General features: G+C 36.0%; 1 long non-coding RNA gene across 1 annotated transcript in view; it reads right to left on the bottom strand.

Annotated features, from left to right (window-relative positions):
* LINC02241 (long intergenic non-protein coding RNA 2241) overlaps positions 1-27,964 on the bottom strand; it is a 325,854-nt gene that overhangs the window by 33,629 nt on the left and 264,261 nt on the right. The window contains exon 6 of the long non-coding RNA NR_149120.1: positions 8,498-8,582. This is a non-coding gene — a long non-coding RNA (long intergenic non-protein coding RNA 2241). The remainder of the gene's footprint in view (positions 1-8,497; positions 8,583-27,964) is intronic.

The raw sequence follows: 27,964 nt of genomic DNA, 5'->3' as shown, positions 1-27,964 counted from the left end.
GAGGCCTCCCTATAACCTGAACAGACGTCAGCACCATGCTTTCTATAAAGGCTGCAGAACCATGAACCCATTAAACCTCTTTCCTTATAAATTGCCAAGTCTCTGGTATTTATTTACAGCAATGCAAGAATGGCCTAATACATGCATATAACATTTTGTAAGGTTGAAAATGAATATTGTATGCACACACACAGACACACAAACACCCATATATACACACACATACTTGCCTGTGTGTGTGCATGCATGTATAATTTTTAAAGATAAACCACCCAATTAAAAATGGACAAAAACTTGAAAGATATTTTTCAAAAGAATCTATACATATTGCCAACAAGTATATAAAAGATAATAACATAATTATCACAGTAAATGTGTATTAAAGCCACAATAGAGCAAGATTACTTACCCAATGACATGGCAAAAATGCAAAAGTAAGACAATCCTAAATGTTAGCAAGAATGTGGAGGAAATCTGTACTATAATATAGACTATGGGAGTGTAAAATTGTTTAGTAACTTTGCACAATAGTTAGCTATTAATTAGAAAGTTAAAATTATACCTGCTGCCATAATTTGGATGTTTGTTCCCTTCAAACCTCATGTTGAAATTTTATCCCCAATGTTGGAGATAGGACCTAATGAGAAGTCTTAGAAGTGGATCCCTGAAGGACAGATTAATGTCCTCCCTTGAGGGGAGGGTGTCGGGTGAGTTCTTGTTCTATTAGTTCCTACAAGAACTGGTTGTTAAAAATAAACTGGCATGTAACCTCTCACTCTTTGTAGCTTCTTTCATCTTGGGATCTCTGCATACACCAGGTTCTTTTCACTTTCTTTATAAGTGAAAGCAGTGTGAGGCCCTCACCAAAAGCATATGCTAGCAACATATGTTTCTTGTACACCTTATATAACTATGCACCAAATAAACCCATTTTCTTTATAAATTACACAGCTTCATGTATTTGTATAGCAGCACAAATGAACTAATACGCCTACTTTATTATTTATGATAATTTCACTCTTATTTACATAAAAATATGAAAAACTATGCCATACATACACAAAAATTTATATAAGAATGTTCAAATAATTCTTACTAAAAATTCAAATATCTGAAATATTCCAGATGTCCATCAAATACCCCATAACGATGGTGATATTTCCATAAAAGGGAATGTTATTCAGCAACAAAACAAAACAAATTTCTGGTACATGCACAAATGTGAGTAGATCTCAAAAAATATGTAATGAAAGGCATTGTACACAAAAATGTATGTATTCTATTTATATGAAGTTTTATTATAGGTGAAACTTTTTTTTGGAAAAAAGAGAAAACTAGTTTACTGGTCTGGGGGAGGACATTCAAGGGATTGAGTGAAAAAGAAAAATAATTTTCTGGGGTGATGGAAATGGTGAATTGTCTAATAGTTGTTTTGGATTATAATGGTTATTCATTTGTCAAAATGATCAAGTCATACACTTAAGATAGTATGTTTTATATAGTAAATCATACCTCAGATACATTTGTGTCTATATCTGTGTTTGTGTATATGTTAAAAAGGGGTAAACAGACATGGCAGGTTCCTCTCAAAATATTCAAATGACTACCAAACAGCAAATGGTATACCTACCATTTTCACATTTCATTCTATGTTCAGATTAAACAATTACTAAAAAAAAAGTTGAATCCTAATTAGTACTATGTATGCTGAATTATTGGAGAGAAGTGTATTCATGTCTCTAACTGCCTTACAAAAATATAAGATGGATAGATAGAGTGATACATGATAAGTTGTATGTTATTGGTAGAATCTAAGTGGTGAGTGTACTGGTGTTCACTGTACAAATATTGCAACTTTTCTGCTTGCTTCAGTAACTTCATAATAATACACTTGGGTAATCAAAGCTTACCATGAGCAGAACTTGGAGGGTTTGTTTCAGTGGTCCTCCCTGGCCCTTTGTCTTCCCTCCCTCCCTCAGAGTAGACTGCCACTTCTTAGGCCTACGGTGCCTAAAGACTGTCTTTCAGTGTTTCCTCCCTCTTCAGAAGGAAGCAGGACCTACCCACCACCTTTCCTTCATAGAGTGTCACTCTGAGCTCCCCTTGCTTCCCCAGCCAATAGTTGCCACTGACTTGTACTTAATGAGAAAATAGTGTTCCTGGAGGATTTCTTTTAGTGCTCACCAACAGAAAAGTAGAAATGAAAAGCATTGTAAATGTAAGCATTTATATTGTGCATCAAGCATCATCAAGGTGAACACGTGGGTAAGAGAGTAGCACATAATATGCTATTTTGAGGCCAGAAGGAAATAACTGATGGTGTTTGTTAGGTATATCTTTTGTCTGTTCATTTTTTTCCTTTGTGTAACCTATTAAATATTTCTCTTTTGTCCTCCTTTTTCAGACATATGATGTTTGCACATAGAGAGTACTTGAACAAGGAAAGCTTGCTGGGTTTGGAACAGATTCTAGATTGTGAATGTGAGACCAAAACCTACTCTGAAATACCAACATAGTGAATTTCACTTCATGTTTTTCTCTCTAAACATATAATCTAAAGATATGTTGTTTATGTTAGTTTTTGATAGTTCAGGTGTAGATAAAAGGGCTGGTCACAGTCTAGAATATAATACATTTAATCTCTATAAAATGCTGTGGTTTTTTTTCTTTGCAAATATATGATACATTTGAAAACAGGAAATTTGAATTATAATTAATCACCAGACTCCATTTATATTCAACTCCTACCATCTAAAAACAACTAAACTTTCCTTCAGGACCAATATATCTCTACTTCTCAGAAGTATGGGGTTATCTCATTCTTAGCTGTGATAAAATGGCTTTGTTTAATTGCCTCGAGCTTTATAAATTTCAAGAAAAATATTGTCATTCATGCTGTGCTCTTTCTCTTAAAATAATTCAAAATTGACAGAGTATTTTGGCAATCTATTCATTATATTGGACAATAAAGCACAAATTTAACATTTTAAAATGTCAAACGCTTTTGCTTAATTGAACTGGTTTTTTCTAAGATGTTAGTATGCAATATCAATAAATGAAAAATACAATTTTGACCTTCCAAATGGTCAAATTAACATTTAAAATAAATCTATACATATTGAGACATGACTTATTTTTCTTTGAAATATTATATTACTTTTCAATTCATGGAGGATTAAATAATGATATTGAAAGGACAAAATGAAAATAAAAGAGATAATTCTATTTGTACCTCGATATTGAAATTGCAATTCCTGGTTTACTTTTCAACATACAATCATATTCCTCGGACGCAAAAAAAAAGTTTGACAATATGTCATTAAAAAGTCACTGATTTGTTGATACTACGCAGTCCCATGACTTTTTATTTTGCCAGTGAGTAGCACGTTAGAAATATGAATTATTTTTGTCCTCACAACTCTGTGAGTGAGTTCTTCCAGAAATTGAGGCACACAAAGTTTAAGAAACTCTTTCAAGATTCACAGCTAGAGAGTGGTAGGATGGAGTCTTACTCTTAAGTATTGTCAATATAGAATTTTCACATATGTATATGTTTTAAAATAATTTTAAGGCTTTCTGCTCTTTAACAGCTCTACACATACACACACAGCATACATAGAATTGAATAAGTATATACGTAAGTGTATGGCACACATATTTTGTGATTCCACAGCTCTTTGGTTGATGCAATTACTCAATACAAGCAATTTTCCCTTTTGCTACCCTTGATCCTCCTAACTCCTAAGGAGAATTAATGCATCTTATGAGTATTTATTTATTGTCCGCAACTACATATGGAATATATGTTAACTACATAACTGCTCACTGTGTTGCCTTCTGAGCCTCTCTCTCCTCTCTCCTCCCCTCCCCGAAAAAAATCTCAGATTCTGAAGTGAGAAATTAAGAATACTGCGGTTGTCATTCTGTTTGGGTCAATATATTGGGCCTTCTTTGAAGCCAAAACTACTTCTGGACTTCTCAACCATGTAAAGATATAGATTTATTTTTTAACACGGTTATAACATAATTTTATATTATTTGTAGCATACATTTGCTAACTGAAGCATTGTTTATTTTCTTTATTAATGTGAGGTATCTATTATACTGAATCATATTATTATGTTTCTGTCACCATTGCTTATGATAATTCCTGACCATTGTAGTCTTTAGATACTTAAAATACTTGAAAAACAGGATTAGATATAATTTATCAATAAGGTTTTAAAAATCTCACTTTATAAAATATACATTGATAACCCACAGTAATTAACAATCTAAGAAGAGCGCAATCTCAGTGCCCAAACCTCTGAAATTAAGCTCACTGATCTCAGTCAATATAACATACTTTGTAACTTGACATCAATAAACTAATGCTGAATAGAAATAAGGTATACATGTATACATGTTTCTTTTGCTTTTTTTAAATTTATTTTATTTTATTTTATTTTATTTATTTATTTTTTGAGACGGAGTCTTCCTCTGACGCCAGGCTGGAGTGCAGTGGCACGATCTTGACTCACTGCAACCTCCGCCTCCTGGGTTCAAGCGATTCCACTGCCTCAGCCTCTCGAGTAGCTGGGACTACAGGCACCCGCCACCACTCCTGTCTAATTTTTTTGTATTTTAGTAGAGACAGGATTTCACCATGTTGGCCAGGATGATCTTGATCTGCTGACCTCGTGATCCCCTCGCCTTGGCCTCCCAAAGTGCTGTAATTACAGGCGTGAGCCACCTGCGCGAACCAAACTAAAGTCAACATAGTTTTAGTTTCCAAAATGACAAACTTATTTCTGATCCTGGGGACTTGAATGTAGCTTTTGGGATGGGGACAGTATAGAGAAATGTTAGAATGTTCACTGTTGGATCACAGAGGCCAAATGAATATATCCCCACTGTCCAAACGTTCCCTATAGTCCCAAGAGACAGGCTTCCTCCTTTTTCCTTTGAGATGCAGTCTTCATTTGCAGAAAGTGTATTACTTCCCTACCCTTTTTTCAATGCACATTTGTCTCAAGCAGATGTGCACATATTGGATCCAAGCATAGGAGTTTCCAAAGAGCTACAAATAGCTTAGATGTCTCAGTGATCTAAACAGCACACAATCACGGCCTTGAGTAATACAGATTTATTGCAATTAAGGAAAGAAAAAAAAAAAACCCAGAAAACAACTTATATGTATCAGCCTGATGGTGAGCTTTCTGGTATCAGAAACCTCGTATCTTTTTTTTTTCTCTGCCTCCCGTGTTGAAGTGATTCTCCTGCCTCAGCCTCCCGAGTTGCTGGGAGTACAGGTGCCCATCACTTTGCCCGGCTAATTTTTGTATTTTTAGTAGAGACAGGGTTTCACCATATTGGCCAGGCTGGTCTCCAACTCCTGACCTTAAATGATCTGCCCGACTCGGGCTCCCAAAGTGCTGGGATTACAGGCGTGAGCCACCGTGTCCAGCCAGAAATATTGAATCTTATTATTCTATAATATTTCAAGTGTCCAGTTCTGCCCTTTTTGGGGAAAAAAATGCATTGACTCTTATGGGACCAGCATTTGCTTTTTTCCTTTGGAATCAAATTATCCTTTACTACATGCAGACATGTTAGGACAATTAATTCAATTTCTGCACTTCTTAGGCCAAGTGAGGTAGAAAAGGATTTATTTTTAAGTTTTTGTTGTGATAGAATGTACATAATATGAAAAGTATCATCTTAACCATTTTAAGTTGCAGTTCAGTAACATTAGTACGTTCACATTATTTTGTGTAATCCTCACTAACTGTGTGTCTTCAGAACATTTTTTGTCATCCCAAGCTGGAACTCTGTAGCCAGAGTTCTGTAAACAATAACTTCCCATTTCTGCTTCCTGCCACCCCGGTAACCAATATTCTACTTTCTTTCTCTATGAATTAAACTATTCTAGGTACTACACATAAGTGGAATCCTACAATATTTGAGCTTTTGTGTCTGGTAATTTCACTTAACATAATGTCTTCATGGTTCATCCATGTTGTAGCATGTGTGTGAATTTCACTCCTTTTTAAGGCTGAATGATTTTCAATTGTACGCATATATCACATTTTGTTTATTCATCCATTCAAGGACATTTGGGTTCTTTCTGCCTTTTGCCTATTGCGATGAATGGTGCTGTGAACATGGATGTACAATGTTCTATGAACATTATTGTAGAACTATCTATACTGTTTTAAAATAAATATTTCTGTTTTAAATTCACTTGGGTATATTCCTCAAATTCATTTTATAGTAAATTATCTTTTTTTTACTTCTATCATCTTCACTCTAAGCCACAAAATGAAATAAATAGATAATGACAACTAATTTATCTTGAGTTATCTTTTGCTTTTCTTCGCTGTTATTGTTATATGTGTGTTTTAGAAATGCTAATCATATAACAGTATTTCTGAAGCATGTGTTACTATTAGGTACAAAACACTTTCAAAAAAAAGATTGCTATTATATATTTTTTCTCTTTAAAATGTATGGAAAATTCAGATGGACAGATTTAATTACTAAAGCTCTTAGTTTTTTTCAAGACATTTTTTTCAAGTCTTTTATTTACACAAATAACATACTTTATGAAAGAGAATGGACTCTAATTGTGGGTGTAAATTAACATTATAAAAAAATTAAAAAACTAGTTAGGCGTAAAATTTCAGCTTTGCATTTGTCTATGTAATGTGTCTACTGTATATAAAACATTGTATTGGCCATTGTGCAGGAAATTATAATGACCCTAAAAATAAATTGTAACCAAGCTCTTGAGAGGAACAGTTAGAAAAACAAAGTGTTCCTGTCAAGTTATTTTTATCAAAATTATTTTATTTTCTTTGCCCTATCAATGATTAAATGTAGTCAAATAACATTTTAAGAAATCTTATGAAGAATACGTAAGACATTTATGTCTAGAAATGGTGGATCAAGTAACAGAGGCCAACTCTCCTATTGAAGGTAATAATGGAGCTTTTAAAATCTGCTCCTAGGTATCAAAGGGCTCATAAAATTGCCAAGAATTTCTGGGCCACCTTTTCAGGGAAGAAGGTAAAACACATTCTGAGATCTGAAGCTAGTATCTGGAACTACTTTTCCTCAGTATGTATTTGTCTCTAATGAAAGATGTAGCAGAAAGCCTGAGATGAGTTTTGAGAGCCCAGTGGGGTTATGTAGACAAAATTTGGAGACCAGACTTGGCCTGCAAGGCAGCCCTGCTAACCTACCCTCACCAAATTTTATTTTGTCACCCTGAGTCAGGTGTAATATTCTGGCACTTAACCAAAAACTAGCTTGAATCATTTTAATCCTCAAATTAAAATATCATGACTTTAGTTTGTTAATGGCCTAAGATGTCTGAAACAAGTAATCAAGTTATAGCATAAGGAAAAACATCCTCTTAGTATACACTATTTTAAAATATTGTTTAAATGCACTTTTTACACTCAATCAAAAATGACCAGACCTACGAGGAGGAAAGACAATGTTAAATGACATGTAGCAAGATCAACCGACACTAGAAACAGACCCATGGGAGTTTCAAATACTGCAGCTACTAAGGAGATAAAATATGAGGTGAAGATTTTGTTAGATCAATAAAACATACATAAAACAACATAACAATATTTTAAAAGAAGTATTCTTTTATTTTACTAATAAAATAAAAATGCTTATCTTGAAATAAAAATATTTTATAGAAAGAAAACATGAGAGAAAGATTGAAAGCAAACCAGCATCAACGGAAATACTAAAGGCAGAAATAATATAAGCAAAGTTAAGTCATAGACACGGGGATGGCAGGGACCAGAGAGAAATAATGAGCCATGGAGATGCTAACTATGCCAGTAAACTAAAAATTATGACTATTTAATATATTCTTTGGAAATTAAATCAAATATTTACTATTGAAATACAGAATGACAATCACATTAAGTTGAATAGTACGGACTACACATAAATATTTTGAAGGTTCTTGCATTGACCGAGAAAAAAGTGAATACACTAACATTAGACTTGACAAACTTGAAATGCATGTTTAATAAATATAATCATAAAAATAAGATAATTATAAAAAGGTATGCAACTTCCAAGCCAAATGAAGGAATGGGATATAAAAAGACTTATAAGTTATAAAACTCATAACTTATGAAATATAGTCAGCATGAACTACATAAGCATGAGAAATGTTCATTCTATTAATTTGTACATAAGCTTATGCATTACATGATTCAAATAAATACAAATTTAGAGCTGTATCTGCTTTTCTACAGCAAGCTAATCAAATAACCAGACAATACAAAAAAGATTTTTTTTAATCCATTTTAAACTGTTTAAGGAATAACGGAGTTCCCCTCTTAATTAGTTAAGTATTACATAATCAAAATCAGGTGATTATATTCTATACTTTTTAACATATTGCATTAGTCTGTTCTCATGCTCCTGATAAAGTCATACCCAAGACAGGGTAATTTATAAAGAAAAGAAGGTTTAATAGACTCACAGTTTCACATGGCTGGGGAGGCCTCACAGTCACGGTGGAAGGCGGAAGAGTAAAAGCATATCTTACATGGTGGCAGGCAAGAGAACTGTGGAGCACAAGGGGGAAAAGGGTTATAAGATCCTGTGAGAACTCACTGACTATGACAAGAACAGCATGAGGGTAACTGCCCCCATGATTAAATTACCTCCCACCATTCCCTCCCTTGACATGTGGTGATTATGGGATCTACAATTTAAGATGAGATTTTGGTGGGGACACAGACAAACCATATCATTCCACACCTGGCCGCTCCAAAATCTCATGTCCTCACATTTGAAAACACAACCATGCCCTTCCAACAGTCCCTCAAAGTCTTAACTCATTCCAGCATTAACTCAAAAGTCCAAGTCCAAAGTCTTATCTGAGACAAGACAAGTTTCTTCTGCCTATGTGCCTGCAAAACCAAAAGTAAGTTAGTTACTTCCTAGATACAATGAGGGTACAGGCATTGTGTAAATACATCCATTCCAAATGTGAGAAATTGGTCAAACCAAAGTGGCTACAGGCCCCATGAACGTCTGAAATCCAATAGGGCACTCATTAAAACTTAAAGTTCCAAAATGATCTCCTTTGACTCCATGTCTCACATCCAGGTCACTCTGATGCAAGAGCTGGACTGCCACGACCTTGGGCAGGCTGGCCCCTGTGACTTTGTAGGGTACAACTGCCTCTCTCCTGGCTTCTTTCACAGGCTGGCGTTGAGTGTTTGTGGTTTTTCCAGGCACACTGCAGGCTGTCAGTGGATCTAACATTTTTGGGTCTGGTGGACAGTGGCCCTCTTCTCACAGCTTCACAAGGCAGAGGCCCATTAGGGACTCAGTGTGGGGGTCCCAACCCCACATTTTCCTTCCTAACTGCCCTAGCAGAGGTTCTCCATGAGGGCCTCTCCCCTGCAGCATACCTCTGCCTAGACATCTAAGCATTTTCATACATACTCTGAAATCTAGGCAGAGATTCCTAAACCTCAACTCTTGATTTCTGTGAACCTGCAGGCTCAACACCACATGGAAGCTTCCAAGGCTTGGGGCTTGCACCCTCTGGAGCCACGGCATGAGTTATACCTTGCCCTCTTTTAGTCATGGCTGAAACAGCTTGGACACAGGGCACCATGTCCCTAGGCTGCACACAGCAGAGGGGCCCTGAGCCCAGCCCACAATACCATTTTTTCCTCCTCAGCCTCTGTGCCTGTGATAGGAGGGACTGCCATGAAGGTCTCTGACATACCCTGGAGATATTTTCCCCATTGTCTTAGTGATTAACATTTGGCTCCTCGTTCCTTATGCAGATTTCTGCAGCTGGCTTGAATTTCACCCCAGAAGATGGGTTTTTCTTTTCTATTGCATCATCTGGCTGGAAATTTTCCAAACTTTTATGCTCTGCTTCCTCTTGAACACTTTGCCACTTAGAAATTTCTTCTGCCAGATATCCAAATCATCTCTCTCTAGTTCAAAGTTCCAAAGATCTCTAGGGCAGGGGCAAAATGCCACTAGTCTCTTTGCTAAAGCATAGTAAGAGTCACCTTTTCTCTAGTTCCCAACAAGTTTCTCATCTCCATCTAAGGGCACCTCATCCTGGACTTCATTGTCCATATCACTATCACAGTTTTGGGCAAAGCCATTCAACAAGTCTCTAGGAAGTTCCAAACTTTCCCACATTTTCCTATCTTCTGAGCTTTGCAAACTGTTCCAACCTCCGCCTGTTACCCAGTTCCAAAGTCGCTTCCACACTTTCAGATATCCTTATAGAAGCACCCTACTCCTGATATCAAGGTACTGTATTAGTCTGTTCTCACACTGCTAATAAAGACATATATGAGACTGGGTAATTTATATAGAAAAATAGGATTAATGGACTCATAGCTTCACCTGGCTGAGGAGGCCTCACAATCATGGTGGAAAGCTGAGGAGAAGCAAAGACACCTCTTACATGGCAGCAGGTAAGAGAAGTGCCTAGCAAGCGGGGGAAAAGCACCTTAAAAAAACATCAGCTCTCATGAGAACTCACTCACTATCACAAGAACAGCATGAGGGTGACTACCGTATGATTAAATTACCTCTCACTGGGTCCCTCCCTCGACACATGGGGATTATGGGAACTACAATGCAACATGAAATTTGAGTGGGGACATAGCCAAATCATATCACATATGTATGCATATAGTTTACAAAATAGCTAATATATTAGGCACATGTTCATATAAAATAAAGTTTGTTTACATGTCATATAGTATATGTTTACATGTCATATAGTAATATAATTTGCGTAATCAATATATAATATTGATTTTACCTATAAAAATCAATTCATTATATTCTCTACTTTTTGAGAAAATACGGCTCAACAAAACAACTCCAGAACCCACAGAAATCCAATATAAATTTCTATTTCTTTTACTGTTCCCAGGAAAAGTAATAGAAAATACTAAGGAACTGATATGATGTTTGATATAATAAAGCTTGCATTTGCTCTATCTCTACAAAATAAATGGTGGCTAATTTAGTAATATCATAAACTCTTTCATCAATTATTATGAAGAGGAGATGAAACTGAAGCACTAGAGTAATAAAGCAATTGCTAAAAAGCATTTTCAGAGTGTACTAAAGAATTTTCTATTTCAGAATACTTTGTCTCAAACTGGGCCAGTGCCATTTTAATCTACATTTTAGTGAACAGCATCTTTGATCTTTAAACTGTGCATATGGTTGTATTATTTTGCTTAATTTTCACACCAAAATTAAATATTCCATATATCCAAATATACTTAACAAGAAGTTGAAGGAGACAATAGTACACCATCACCATGTCTCACTGCATGCCTTCTACCTCTGCTCCTTGCCTAAATAAATATTCTAATTTTCAGTGGTGTGATTTACCAGAACAAACTATGAGTTACAGCAGTCAGTATGAAACCCTTGCAAATTGGAAAATCAGAATCTAGCCTCTACTTCCATCTCTTTATGTATATTGCTCTGGCCAAAGCCAATAGTGACCTGTGTGCAGCTAAGTTCAAGGGTATTTTTGAGTTTCTAAATTGTCTGTGAATAAACAATATTGACAACTCTTTCCATTTCAAAAAATTATCTTTCCTGTTTCTTTGGCAATCTCAATATTATTTTTTCTATCTGGAAAGCAAGAATGTTTCTCTCTGGATTAATTCTTTCTCTAACACTTAGGACAGTTTCCAACAAACTATGCTATTAAAAAAGTAGTTTCTGAATGCGTGAATGAATATAAGTAACTCTTGTACATCTACATTTGGATAAGTAGTAAATATCCTCAATGTCAGCCCCAAAGTATCCTCTGATTATCCTTTGTAAACCATGACTTCTAGGATCACACCACTTGCCACAGTGCAGCCAGCTTCCTAACAAAGGAATCAAGGAGGCATCTTTTATTTTTGTCTGTTCTATATGTCCCCACACTTTCTTATCATACAAATAAAGTGTAATGCATACTATTTTTTTGGAATTTTTATATTATCATATTTCCATAAATATTATTACTTAAGGTGTTTTTAACATTTACATGTTTTCTGTGTGTTTTAACTACATATGTACTTAACTGTATTATTTAGATAAAACATTTTGGCTTCTGTTTTACGTTAGAAGGAGAAAACCTGTCTGGACAATTCCATAATGAGTAAAAGCTACATCAGAACAGATCTATAGAGAGTAGTGCTTTTAATATGTTCTTTGTTTAATAACTAATTGTCTATATCTCAAATAAATACCTGCTTCATTATTTATACGGACATACCAACTACATTTTTTTTGAATAGAGAATGCTGTATTAACTTAGTGATTCCGTCAACAATAGTTATCACGTATCAGATACTCTTGCTAAACGCTAGGAACACCACAGTAAACAAAAGAGATAACGGTCTTTGCCATCAAAGTCCTTGTATTCTAGATATGTTGAGTGATCAAGATATATAATGGATGCTACTATCCAATTTTCATCAAAAACTCCCCTTGGATAATCTTCGCTGTCATGTTAGCCTTAAAAAATACTTGAAATGATGTGGTGCGATAGTGACAGCTCAGATATGGTTCCAATTCACAAATTTATTGTGTGAAATGGAACTATTATTGCTGCCAAAGGGCTTTATATAGAACAACAGAAGTTGCTCTGTGAAGGACTAAATTATCTCTGCATGATGTGGTCCCAAATAATTAATATTCCCTCTAACCAAAGATTGTTGATCATGTCCCATGACAAAAATTAGATGTTTTTGGCAAGGAATGCTGCCTGCAGTGGGCTTTATATTTTATTTTGTTGATGGCTAACTTCCATATTAAAGGCTAAATACCTAGCCAATATTTTCAAGTGAAAAATTCCCTAATAGACTTCATGTAGTGAAGCCAAAAATTTCCATAACTTTGCTGGCATTAAAATGCGTTTGCTCCACAAAAACAACCCCATCTAGCTAAACTCTGACTGCTGATGATACGTGGCTAGCTTAACTACATTAGGCAGGTTCTCTTCTGACCTTAGCCCCAAATGTCCAGTTTGAGACCAAGTGCTCAGCCTTATTATCTTTTTTTTTTTTTTTTTTTTTTTTTGAAACGAGTCTCGCTCTGTCGCCCAGGCTGCAGTGAAGTGGCGCTATCTCGGCTCACTGCAAGCTCCCCCTTCCGGGTTCACGCCATTCTCCTGCCTCAGCCTCCTGAGTAGCTGGGACTACAGACGCCCGCCACCACGCCCAGCTATTTTTTTTGTATTTTTAGTAGAGACGGGGTTTCACCGTGTTAGCCAGAATGGTCTCGATCTCCTGACATCGTGATCCACCCACCTCGGCCTCCCAAAGTGCTGGGATTACAGGCGTGAGCCACCGCGCCGGGCCAGCCCTACTATCTTTACATAGTCATGGAGTTTTAAGATTCTGAACAACAGATCAGATAATCTTTGAATTAACATTGTTAGTATATTAGTACTAGTATAAAATTTCATAAACCTTTTCACAAAAAAGCCAACACTGTCACAAACCATAAGAAAATGTATTATTCCCTTCACACAAAGTCTGGAAGTTGGTGACATTTTTGGTTTCAATGGCAAGGGACAATCACATCTCTGTAATTTTTTGACCCGTTACTCAAAATGCATAGGTTATAAACCCTCACTTTAGTGCCTGTGGTAGTAAGGAAGGGCAGGGCATAAAGACGGGCACCTCGGAAGTGCTGCTGTGCAAAGTATTTTTTCAGTAGGTGTAATATTATGATAAAGAAATATTTGTTTCATCCACAGTTCCTGGCTCATAACTCCCGTAGCCTCTATTATTTCCTAAGTGACTAAAACAATAAGAAGATCTTTTGCTAAACTATTTGGCCTTTTGTTTTTCAGTCCTGAAGCAGCTTTGGGACAGCTTCAGAACAATAAAGGTGAAAGATGATCTTTGCTTATAACCTTAGGATGCGTTAGGCCCCGGAAGCAATCTCAGAAAACAGAACCTCTCTCTGACCTCCTCCTGCTCCTCTTTTACCTGTTCCTTTTTCTCCTCAAGGCAGGCCATAGAATCTAAAAATACACCCTAATCTCCTGAATTTGTGTCTTAGAGCTGCTCATAAAGAAATTCTTCTAGTGTGATGGTTAATATTAGTTGTCAACTTGATTGGATTGAAGGATGCCTAGATAGCTGGTAAAGTATTGTGTCTGTGAGGGTGTTGCCAGAGGAGATTAACATTTGAGTCAGTGGACTGTGAGGGGAAGACCCACTCTTAATGTGGGTGGGCAGCATCCAGTTGGCTACCAGCACGGCTAGAACAAAGCAGGCAGAAGGTGAGATAAGTTGGCTTGCTGAGTCTTCTGGCTTTCACCTTTCTCCCATGCTGTATGCGTTTTTCGTTTGTTTGTTTGTTTGTCACCCAGGCTGGAGTGCAGTGGTGCAATCGTGGCTCACTGCAACCTCTGCCTCCCAGGTTGAAGTGATCCTCCTGCTTCAGCCTCCCTAGTAGCTGGGACAATAGACATGCACCACCACACCGGGCTAATTTTTGTATTTTATTAGTAATGGGGTTTCACCATGTTGGCCAGGTTGGTCTCAAACTCCTGATCTCAGGTGATCCGCTCGCCTCAGCCTCCCAAAGCGCTGGGATTGCAGGCATGAGCCACCACACCACGCCCTGTGCTGTATGCTTCTGTCCATTCTTCCTGCCCTTGGATGTCAGACGGTTATTTGACCTTGGAATCTTGGACTCACACCAGCAGTTTTCTGCGGGCTCTCAGGCCCGCAGCCACAGACTGAAGGCTGCACTATCCGCCTCCCTACTTCTGAAGTTTTGGGACTTGTGCTGGCTTCTTAGCTCTTTAGCTTGCAGACAGCCTACCGTGGGACTTCACCTTGTGATTGAGTAAATTCTCCTTTATAAACTCCCTTTCATATATAGGATATATATAGGATATATAGATACATATCTCACTAATAGGATACATACATATATCCTATTAGTTCTGTCCCTCTGGAGAACCCTAATACACTGAACTACTTTGTCCTATTTTGGGTCATAAGATCCCCATTTCAGGAGGGGTCCTGCTCCAAGTCCTATAGAAAAGAATGCTGCACAGAAGGGCCAAGAAGAATCTGGGCAGACAGGCCTTGCTGGGTTTTCCACTCAGTATTAGATCACACTCATTTCATCCAATCACATTTTGACATGGTGGTCCATAATTTAGTCATACCTCTCCCTGGAAGTCTTCTTAAAAGGCCCAAGAGAATGGGGGATGGAGAGCTTCTGGACAGCTGAACTTGTGAAGGCTTACAGAAAGGTGAACAAGAGCTCACATATGTGCCAGGAGGGTGGCACGCCCCCAATCCGTGAGAAAGAAGCTCCTGTGCGCAGGACCCTTCCAGACCTCTCCCTATATATTTATCCATATGGCTGTTTATTTGTATCCTTTAAAATGTTATTGATAATAAAAGGGTAAATGTAAACAGATGTTTTTCTGGGTTTTCTGAGACACTTTAACAAATTAATAGAGCCTAAAGAGAAGGTCATGGGAACTCCAACTTGAAGCAATAGATCAGAAGTTCCAAGGGTCTGGACTTGTGACTGGTGAAGGAACTGGGGGCAGTCTTGTGGGACTGAGCTCTCAAGCTGCGGAGATCTGACATAATCTTCAGGTAGGCAGCATCAGAATTGAACTGGATCAGGAGCTGCCAGCTGATAACTGCTGTAAAATTGCTTGCTTGCTTGTGAATAGGGAGAAATCTCCACACATTTAGTCACAGAAACTTCTTGTGTTGATAACTGTGGCATGAGAACAGAAGAAAAACCTATGTTTTGTCTACATAGTAGGTGATAAAAGTCTAATATGGTTTGGATTTGTGTCCCAGCCCAAATTTCATGTTGAATTGTAATTCCCACTGTTGGAGGTTGGTCCTGGTGGGAGGTGATTGGATCATGGAGTCGAGTTCTCATGAATAGTTTAGCCCCATTCCCCCTTGGTGCTGTTCTCATAATAGTGAGTGAGTTCTTATGAGATCTGGTTGCTTAAAACTGTATGGCACCTCCCCCAGCCCTTGCTGCTCCAGCCCTGTGAAGTGCCAGCTCTGCCTTTGCCTTCTGCCATGATTGTAAGTTTCCTGAGGCCTCCCCAGAAGCTAAGCAGATGCCAGCATCATGCTTCCTGGACAGCCTGCAGAGCCAATTAAACCTCTTTTATTTATAAGTAACCCAGTCTCACGTATTTCTTTATAGCAGTGGGAGAATGGACTGATACTAGATTCTTCAGCTGATTTTTTCTCATGACTAGCACTGAATTATAAGAACATCCTTAGACTAAGCACCGATGAAATTGAGTCGGATTATTACTGCTTTGACAAAGTATGATTCATCACCTGGGACCCTGGTGGGGTTTTACCTTCTCTGAGATCGAGGTCTCTCCAGCATTTCTTGAATGCAATGGAATTGCATTGCCTGGTACTAAAGCAGGGCGAGTGAGGACACTAGACATTCAACAGTAATTTCCACAAGCATAAGATACAAGGCCCACTACAACTTTGTGCATTTCTCTTCCAGATTTAGGAAAAGTAAAGGTGATCATATTAAAAACAAACAGACAACAACAACAACAACAAAATAAACTAAACTCCAAGACTGCTTAGATAGCCTGGAACTGCATACAACTTTTGTACTATAAAGTAATCTGGAATTAATATAATTGTTAAAGTTAAAACAAAGATAGCTGGGGACTTATTCTAATTCTTAATATTAGTGAATGAGACCATTTTTCAATTCTGTGAAGTTTTGTTTTATAGACTGTACAGTATTAAAGGAGTAAACTACTGTCTTCTGTCAATATGCATTTGTACCTCAGAAAGGATACAATAACATATGGCAAGTTATTCCTTGTAAAGATACAGTCGTATGTTTATTTTTATCTACTTATGGTTTTTGTGCCTTATTTTCTCTACCTGTCCAACAGTGGTCAATTTGAAATATTACTGAGCTTTATTTTTTTTTCTATTTTTTGTTACATAAACTGTAAATTTCCATAATCTCAAAAAATGTACAAAAGGTGAGAATGCTTACAATCTCTATGACCTGCGTATTGATGAGACTGATACCGCCCTCAAATATTTTCACCTAATAGATAATAAACATGAGTCTACTTTGAAGCAGTGCTAAGTGAGAAATTAGTTATTCTTTGAAATCTTGATATAATTGCTTGTTTCAAAATAAGTATGCATTCTTTTTATTTGAATCTGTACCACTTCCCTGTGACTTAGCCTACTTCATCTAATATTTTAAGGCACACAAGTATATGGGGAGATTGTTAGAAATGCAATATCTTAGCCTGTACTACCAGACATTATAATTCAGTAGAACAAGACTGGGGCTGTGGAATTTTGCCTCTTTCGTGTACTCTAGATTGTTCTGATGCATGCCCTCTATGAATCTTTGAATCCTTCTAGGGAAAACAATTGCAGTACATTTGATGTTTTTGTAATATTTATTTTAAGTTCAGGGGTACATATGCAAACTCTTCAGGTTTGTTACATAGGTAAATGTGTGTCATGAGGGTTTGTTGTACACATTATTTCATCACCCAGATATTAAGCCTGGTATCCATTAGTTATTTTTCTTGATCCTCTCCTTCCTCCCATCCTTCACCCTCTTATAGACCCCAGTGTGTGTTGTCCCCTCTATGTGTCCGTGTGTTCTCATCATTTAGCTCCCACTTATAAGTGAGAACATGCAGTACTTGCTTTTCTGTTCTTGTGTTAGTTTGCTCAAGATAATGGCATGCAGCTCCATCCCTGTCCCTGCAAAGAACATGGTTCCCTCCTTTTTTATGGCTGCATAGTATTCCATGGTGTATATGTGCCACATTTTCTTTATACAGTCTATCACTGATGGGCATTTGGTTTGGTTCCATGTCTTTGTTATTGTGAATAGTACTACAATGAACATATGCGTGCATATGTCTTTATAGTATGAATAGAATAAATAATTTATATCCCCTGGGTATACACTTAGTAATGGGATTGCTGAGAAAAATGGTATTTCTGTCTTTAGGTCTTTGAGGAACCACCTCACTGTCTTCCACAATGACTGAGCTAATTTATAGTCCCATCAACAGTGTATGGCCAGGTGCAGTGGCTCATGCCTGTAATCCCAGCAGTTTGGGAGGCCAAGGCAGGCAGATCACATGAGGTCAGGAGTTTGAGACCAGCCTGGCCAACATGGTGAAACCCCATTTTTACTAAAAATACACACACACACACACACACACACACACACACACACACATTAGCCAGGCATGGTGGCATGGGCCTATAGTCCCAGCTGCTTGGGAGGCTGAGGCAGGATAATTGCTTGATCCCAAGAGACGGAACTTGCAGGGATCCGAGATCGTGCCACTGCACTCCAGCTTGGGTAACAGAGTGAGGTTTCATCTCGGAAAACAAAACAAAACAAAAAACAAACAACAACAACAACAAAAACAAAAACAAAACAGTGTATAAGCGTTCATTTTTCTCCACAACCTTGCCAGCATCTGTTATTTTTTGATATTTTAATAATAGTCATTTCAACTGGTGTGAGATGGTGTCTCATTGTGGTTTTGATTTGCATTTCTTTAATGATCAGTGATACTATGCTTTTTTTTTCAAATGCTTGTTGGCTGCATGTAGGTACAAACCACTGCTCAAAGAAATCAGAGATGACACAAACAAGTGAAAAAACATTCCATGCTCATGGATAGAAAAAGTCAATATAATTAAAATGATCATACTGCTCAAAGCAATTTATAGATTCAATGCTATTCCCATTAAACTACCATTGATATTTTTCACAGAACTAGAAAAAACGATTTAAAAATTCATATGGAACAAAAAAAGAGTCCAAATTGCCAACACAATCCTAAGCGAAAAGAACAAAGCTGGAGGCATCACGCTATCCAACTTCAAACTATACTACAGGGTTACAGTAACCAAAATAGCATGGTGCTGGTACAAGAATAGATGCATAGACCAATGAAACAGAATAGAGAATGCAGTAATACGACGACACGCCTGCAATTATCTGATCTTCAACAAACCTGACAAAAAAAAAAAAGAAATGCAAATTCTTCATTGCCAATCAAATCTACTAGAAATAAAAACAAAACAAACAAACTAGCAAAGAAAACTCTCTGTGGATGGGGCCTCAAGCTTCAGAAGTGGTGACTTCTTTGTGAACTACATTAGGGAATTATATTGCACACAATAAAAAAAAATCTGGATTCTGAATCAACACTAGTAGGAAAACTGTGAACCAGGAACAACCACATTAAATGGTTATTTTAGAAACAAATTTGTTTTTGTGTTTATTCACAGATAGTTTTAATTAATACCTGGAGTATCAATCAGAGTTCCTCACAAAAACAGAACCAATAGGAGGGGTGTTTGTGTATGTGTGATTTGTTTTAAGGAATTGTCTCAGATAATCATGGGAACTGGCAAGTTCAAAATCTGTACAGCAGGCAGGCAGGCTGGAAACTTGGGAAAGATTTTACAATGCAGTCATGAGGCTAATTTCTTCCTTTCTAGGAAACCTCAGCTGTTGCTTTTAAGACCTTCAAATAATTGGATGAGGTCCAACACATTAATGAGAGTAATCTCCTCTACTTAAAGTTAACTAATTGTAGCTGTTAACCACATCTATGTAATACCATTTCAACAACACACAACTTTGTTTTTGTTGTTGTTGTTGCTTATTTGTTTGTTTGAGACAAAGTCTTGCTCTCATTGCACAGGCTGGAGCACAACAGCATGATCTTGGCTCACTGCAACTGCCACCTCCCTGGTTCAAGTGATTCTCCTGCCTCAGCCTCCCAAGTAGCTGGGACTACAGGCGCCTGCCACCATGCCTGAATAATTTTTGTATTATTAGTAGATACGGGGTTTCACCAAGTTGGCCGGTCTGGTCTCAAACTCCTGACCTCAGGTGATCCGCACCGCCTTGGCCTCCCAAAGTGCTGGGATTATAGGTGTGAGCGACCGCACACAGCTGTAAATTTGTTTTTTATTAAATAACTGGATACTATATGGCCTAGCCAAGTTGGCATGCAAAATAGTCATTACAACCAGCTAGCATTATCTTAACTAATAGAATCGTTTTACTGTCTTCCTTAACAAATTCCATTTTCCCACATGATAGCCAGAGTGATATGTGGCCTACACTTTCTTCCCTCAGCTTAAAAATCCTCAGTGGCTTTTCTTGCATTATTTAATTATTAAAACTCCATTATTCAAACTGAATCTCAGGGTCCAGCAATATTTGGCCCTTGTCTACTTCTCCAACATCATCCCAAAGTATTCTTCTCTCTTTCTTTGCTAGCTTCCATATATATACATGCATACAAATATAACAGTTTCTAGAATGTGATAAAGTGTTTTCTGTAATAAGATCTTCCTTTATGTGGCTCACTTTACTAATAATGTTTTCCTTCTTAACTCTTTACCTAATTCCCATTCAACTCCTATTTCATCTTAAGTGTTATTGACTGAGTGTTCCCTAACTCTCCATTTAATTAGGCACTTCATTTTATTTTTATTAAGAACACTTTGTGTAGTTATATATATGTTTATGTGTTTAATGTTTAATTTTACAATTACTCAGAAGGCTGAATGAGAGCAGGAAACATGTCCTTATGTGGCCTATATTCATTATCATTTTATACTATTATTAGCAGGGAGACATCACTTATTTTTCTGAGAGAACTGAGAAATAGCTTATCTAGCATTACGTTATACAATCAGCTGAGGGGTTTGCTGAGGGGAAAAGGAATACAGAATGGAAGAAGGAATACAGTAGTGGAAGAATGTATTTAGAAATATCAGCTACACCAAGTAACCAGTTACAATTGTTTGTGTACGTATATTAAGCAAACATTGCTTTACTTCCGCTATTCTTCCCTTATTATGTAACACAATGTGTATTGATTTAAATCATAGTATTTAGGTATTGCTAGTGCATTTTCAGTTGTATGCAGGCCGGTTGTCTCATGTTAAGTGGAAGTATGACCTTGTTATTGTCCTTTTTTAGAGATTAAATATGGTTTAAGGAGATGCATATGGATGCCAGAAGGACAAGGGGTGGACTTGTGATGGTTAATTTTATGTGTCAGTGCATTGGGACCACAATGCTCAAATATTTGGACAAACATTCTGTAGGCTTCTGTAAGGGCATTTTTAAGTGAGATTAACATTTAAATCAGTAGATTTAAGTGAAGCAGATTGCGCTCCATAATGTGGGTAAGCCTCATGCAATCATCTGAAAGCCTGAATAGAACAAAAAGACTGACGTCCCATGAGCAAGAAGGAATTCTGCAAGCAGATGGACTTCAGACTTCTACTGCAACATCATTTCTACTGGGGTGGCCTGACAGTGTCTGCCCACCTTGCAGATTTTGGACTTGCCAGCCTCTATAATCACGTAAACCAATTACTTAAAATAAATCAATGTCTATGTATATCAATGTCTACATCTATGCACATCCTATTCGTTCTGTTACTCCTGGAGAACTCTGGCTATTAAATGCAGAGTTTGTAAAACACCTGAGCTTATATATATGCTCAGATGTGTAAATGAATGCTGTTTATTGGGAAGAAGTCTCAATGGCCTGTTTAGATACTCAAAGTAGTCTGATCTGAATTATGTCTAAGAATCTTGCCTAAATTGTCTCTCTATTTAGCAACATATTAATTATATCAATAAACCTGGAAGGCAAATTTTTACGTTCTGAATTGATCTAGAAAGTACGATCCCCAGTGTATCACTTATTTAACTGAAGCAGCGGCAATGCCTCGGTAGTACTTTTCCAAGATAAATGTATAGCATTTCTTCAGTGTGATTTCAAAAGAGCATGAGACCTGTACATCCTTCAGCCTCAGTCCACTCTTTAGTCTCGATTTCCTGACAGGAAATGCTTATGGAAGAACTATTTACCTACTCATACAGTTCAATTTACTTCTGAAGTATGAAAAATAAATTTTCATGCATAGGGTGTGTGAAAGCTAGGATTATGAAAAACAGTCTCTAAAACTTTTTAATTAGTGTGTGGGTGAACAGAATACACCTTACAGACAAATTACAGTATTTATCCATGAAAGTTAAGCATGCTGGTGAATCACCAATTTCTTTTAATTCCAAAAATTTAAAATACAAACTCCATATGCCTTTCATTACAGGTATGAAGAAAGAGAGAAATAAGAAAAACAAATTTTACTGCCGTATAACTATTTTACATATCTAGTATCTAAAATACCTACAAAAATGTAACTGCAGAATCCAGAAAGTCTTAACCTCTATCAAGCTGAGAGCGTGAAACTGGTTCTCCTATCAAGTTCACACAACTCTTTCAGAGTACTTCCCATGACACTGTCTCAAGTGTGCTGCAGACTAAGCCTCCTCGGTTAGGTTCTTTCAGCCCGACATCATCGTGCTCCCTCTTATATTAAACCACTTCATCCCCATCATATGCTGACAAAAATTGTAATCCGTGATCTAGTAGAAACAAGTGTGTGTGATTTCATCATTCCTTTGAGATACTTTAGATTTGTCAGAAAAAAATGCTATTACCATAGCTCACAATGAGATTTCCCTAAGTTTTGCCCTCAAATTTTATTTCCTTACAGGATTTCTAAATTGCAAGTGTGTTCTTGTTCTTTTCCTACTGGAAATAGTGCACAAATGCAGGCAATAATGGGCTCTACTTGTTTATATAAAGTGTAAATTATAGAATTTTCACTTCATGTGTTAAAAATAAACCATTTGTAAGAAATTCATCTTTCGTTTTTATATACATAATTCAAATAAAAGCACAACTTTACAAGTATCTTCATTTCCCATGTTCATTTTGACAAGGTTATTATTCACCTCCCCTAGTAATTTATTTTCCTTTATCTTTATCTTTCTGTCACAAAGAATCCAGAAAAAAAAAAAAAACGACTATAGTATTACATTTCTCAGTGTTTCCTTGAATATAGTGTTTCAAATTATCAATCAAACTAAGGTTAATATTTCTTCCAAAGTCAAAATTTGTATTGAATTAAAAGAATAGAAGAGAAAGAAGCCAACTATGGAATTACAAAATGAAGCTGATAATTTATTGAACAGTTTTAGGTTTTCGCATTCATAGACTTTCCTCTTGCCCAATATAAAGGCCATTTCAAACAAATTATTCTGTGAATAAATGCATTAGTCGTGGTTCAATTCAAAGCGTCTATTACGCATTTCTTCAATGAGTCATTTTTTGTTATATATTTATTTAAGTTGCCTATAGCCCCAATAAATTTGTTCTCTTACAGTTCATGAAATATATGGCAATGAGGTTGAAAGTATGTCTTTTACCTTATTTTTATTTCTAACCATTTCTCAAAGATTCAAAATATGAATCATATCTATTGGAACCAATTTGACAATTCTTCTTTAAAGGCAATCTTTATGACTCTTAATTTATTTGAATGACAAAGTGATCACTATGTAAATGATAATTATAGAAAGCATTCAAAAGGGAAGGCTTTTAAAATAATTTATATTTAATGTTCTCTAATGTAACATTAACAAAAATAAATTTTTATAGGACCTATTGGTTGCATAGAAAAAATTATAAATTAATAGATGTATCTAAAACTAATGAAAGGAAATGAATATGAATTGTTAGCTTTCAATCAAAGCAAGTGAACACCAGAAAATATAGAAAAAAGCTTAATTACTTCCTGATTCAACAGAGTTCCTCTAAAATGGTAGTAATATTTTTGATAAAATCTATAATACACTTATGATACATTTCTATTTTATAGTAAATTTTTACATTTGTCATATTTTAATCTGACTACCTCATAAATAAAAAATCAGATACTTAAATATATCTGTTTTCAGAACATATTCTATATAAATATAATCTTATCAATTTTGAATGTTAGGTTCAGGGATGAAAGTTTTTAAAAGGCTTTCTATTTCCTTTCTTACTTTATCCTTTTTGGGGGAAAGTGTTAAGTTGGATAAAAGGTCTATTTTCTCATACAGAGTAATTTTCTTAAACCTATACATAGTCTTTTAACACATAGTTTTTTTACTTGTTTTGTTATTGTTATTGAATAAGACATATTCTTGAGCTTGATGATATATTACAATTCTATACACCAAGGAAATTACTATGTTTCTCAAGACACCTAGCATTGCCCTGACCCAAGATACTTTCATGCTCTTTTTCAGTTACTGACTTCCAGATCTATCACCATAGATTCATTTGCTTGTCTTTGAATTTCATATAAATTGTATCATGCAGTATGTACTTTTCTGTATCTCATTTCTTTAACTCAATATATTTTAAAATGTTGTCTGCAGTTTGCCTATTTTTTTTGAGTAGTATTCCTTCCTATTAATATATAGCATAATTTGTTTATCTATTCATTTGTTGAACATTTGATGCAATTCAGGTCTGTTATGAATAAAGTTGTTATAATCATGCCTGTCTGTGCATGTCTTCTGGTGCACACAGGCATTCATCTCTTAAGTATACACTTCTCGTTGGAGCATCTGGGCCATAATTATCTAATGCTCAATTTTATAAGGCACTAAAATAGGGTTTTCCAAAATAAATGTACAAAGTTTTATTGTCACCAGAAAGGTATGAGTGTTTCTGTTGGTCTACATCTTTCATAACACCCAGATTGCCTGCAAAAAAAAAAAAAATTTAGGCATTTTGATGGGAGGGGAATACAGTAGAATAATATTTTGGTTGTAATTTGACTATCTCTGATCACAGATAATGTCAAGTATATTTCACTGACAGAACATTTGTAAATTCTTTTTTAACAAATGCCCCCTAAAATATTTATTAGACTGACTGTTTTTTTCTTATTGATTTGTATGAATGATTTACCTATTATGGATACAATGTTGATTTCATATATGGCTATTGAGAAACCTACCAGTCTGTGACTTGTCTTACATACTCACTTTATTAATGTTGTCTTTTACTTAATTCTTAAATTTTGTGTAGTTCAACATATCCTTTTTAAAATCTAGTGATTTTAACATATTTATTTGGACAAAATTTACATAAAATTAAATCACTTAAAATTTACATCTTAAGTCTTGGTCAGTTAATAAAATCATGTAATCAAAATCACACTTAAGGTATATCAATTGTATCACCCCGTCGAGTTTCCTCATTCTCCATTGCAGTCAGCTCAATCCAAATATCTACAGTCCAGGCAAACACTAATCTGCTTTCTATCACTGTAGGTTTATTTTGTTTGGAAATTTATATTCACAGAGTCAAGAGGTATGTCATCTTTTGTATTTTTTTTCAATTACCATGACATTTTTGAGGTTCATCCATGTTTCTGTGTGTATTAGTAGTTTTCCCTTGCTGTGGCTGAATAGTAATCCACTGTACAGATATACTGCATTTTAATTGCCCATTCACCTGTTAATTTTTGGATTGTTTCTAGTTTTAGACTATATGAATAATGCTATTAAAATACATTAATCAAAAGTCATTTTGTGGTCAGATGCCTTCATTTATAATGAAGAGATGTCAAAAAGCGTGATGGTTTGTAACCGTATTGTAAGTGTATATTAGCTTTATAAGAAACTCCCCAACTCATCTGCAGTGTGGTTATCCCATTTTGCATTCTCAGTAACAATGCCTGAGTCATTAATATTTTCAGCTGTTTTAATTTTTATCACTCCTATACTGTGAAGTTGTAGTTTGTTGAAGTTCTAACTTCTATTTCTTGAAGACTAGTGACATCGAGCAGTGTTTTACAAGCTTTTGAATATTAACATATTGTCTCTGTGAAGAGTTTTATTAAGCATCTGATATTTTTAATTGTTTTTTTCTTTTATAATCAAATTAAAAGCATTGTTACATTACTTTTTAAATATTTTTGGATTTGTTATTTCCAACTGGTAACCAGCCTTTCATTTCTGGGATAAAATTCAATTAGCTATGATGCATAATTCTTTTTACATACTGCTAGACTTGATGTGTCTATATAATGGTAAGAATTGCTTTTTCCTTTCCAACATTTATTATAGAATCGAGGTACATGGCAGCTTTGATACATGGGTAAACTGCATGTTAACAGGGGTTTGATGTACAGATTATTTCATCACACAGTTAACAAGTGTAGTACACATTAGATCGTTTTTCAAACTTCACTCTTCTCCCACCCTCCAACCTCAAGTAGGCCTTTGTGTTTATGTTTCCCTTCTTCATGTCCATGTGTACTCACTGTTTAGCTCCCACTTAAAAGTAAGAACATGCGGTGTTTGGTTTTCTGTTCCTGCATTAGTTCACATAGGAGAGTAGCCTTCAGCTCTATCCATGTTGCTGCAAAGGACATGATCTTGCTCTTTTTATGGCTGCATAGTATTCCATGGTGCATATGTACCACATTTTCTTTATTCAGTCTACAATTAATGGGCATTTAGGTAGATTCCTTGTCTTTGCTAGTGTGAATAGTGCTGCAATGAACATGTGCATGTATGTGTCTTTACGGTAAAATGATTCATATTCCCTTGGGTATATAGCCAGTAATGGAATTTCTGGGTCGAATGGTAGTTCTGTGTTAAGTTCTTTGAGAAATCTCCAAACTGCTTTCCCACACACTGTGGCTGAACTAACTTAGAATCCCACTAGCAGTGTAAAAGCATTTCCCTTTCTCCACAACCTCACCAGTATCTGTTACTGTTTTTTTTTGTTTTGTTTTGTTTTTTTAATAATAGCCATTCTGTTTGGTGTGAGATGGTAGCTCATTGTGATTTTGATTTGTGTTTCTCTAATAATCAGTGATGTTGAGCACTTTTTTGTATGCTTCTTGGCCACATGCATGTCTTCTTTTGAGAATTTTCTGCTCATATACTCAGCTCACTTTTTAATGGGGTTATTTGCTTTTTGCTTGTTCAATCATTTAAATTCCTTTATAGTCTCTGGATATTAGGCCTTTGTCAGATCCATAGTTTGCAAATATTTTCAACCATTCTGTAGGCTTTCTATGTATTTTGTTGATAGTTTCTTTTGCTGTGCAGAGCTCTTTAGTTTATTTAGATCACATTTGTCACTTTTTGATTTTGTTGCAATTGCTTTTGGGGTCTTTGTTATGAAATCCTTATCAGAGCCTATGTCCAGAATGGTATCTCCTAGGTTTCCTTCTGGGGTTTTTATGGTTTTACGTAAACTATAAAACTATATAAACTCTATACCTATAGTTTGAGGTTTTACATGTCAGATTTTTTTTTAATCCATCATGAATTGGTATTTATATATGTTGAAAGGTAGGGATCCGGTTTCAGTCTTCTGCATATGGCTAGCCAGAACCGTTTATTGAATAGGGAGTCCTTTCTCCATTACTTGTTTTTCTCAACTTTGTCAAAGTTCAGATGGTTGTAGATGTGAGGCTCTATCTCTGTGTTCTCTATCCTATTCCATTGATCTGCATGGCTGTTTTTATACCACTACCATGATTTTTTTTTTTTTTCTGTAACCTTGCAGTATAATTTGAAGTCAGACAGTGTGCTACCTCTGGCTTTGTTCTTTTTGCTTAGGACTGCTTGGGCTATTCAAGTTTTTTTTTTTGGTTCCTTGCGAACTTTAGAGTAGTTTTTTCTAATTCTGTGAAAAATGACATTGGTAGTTTTACAGGAATAGCACTGAATTGCAAATTTCTTTGGGCAATATGACCATTGTAACAATGTTGATTCTTCTTGTCCACGATCATGGACTGCTTTCTCATTTGATTGTGTCATGTCTGAGTTCTTTCAGCAATATTTTGTAAGTCTTATAGAGATCTTTAACTTCCCTGACTAGCTGCATTCCCAGGTATTTAATTTTTTTCTATGGCTATTGTAAATGGGATTGTATTGTTGATTAGGCTTTCAGCTTGGATGTTGTTGGTATATTGTAATAATACTGTTTTTTGAGTAATTATTT

This window comes from Homo sapiens, chromosome 5 (genome assembly GCF_000001405.40).
Source record: "Homo sapiens chromosome 5, GRCh38.p14 Primary Assembly".
NCBI lineage: Eukaryota > Metazoa > Chordata > Mammalia > Primates > Hominidae > Homo > Homo sapiens.
Note: the sequence above shows the minus strand (reverse complement) of the source record. Positions and strands in the feature narration are given on the sequence as shown.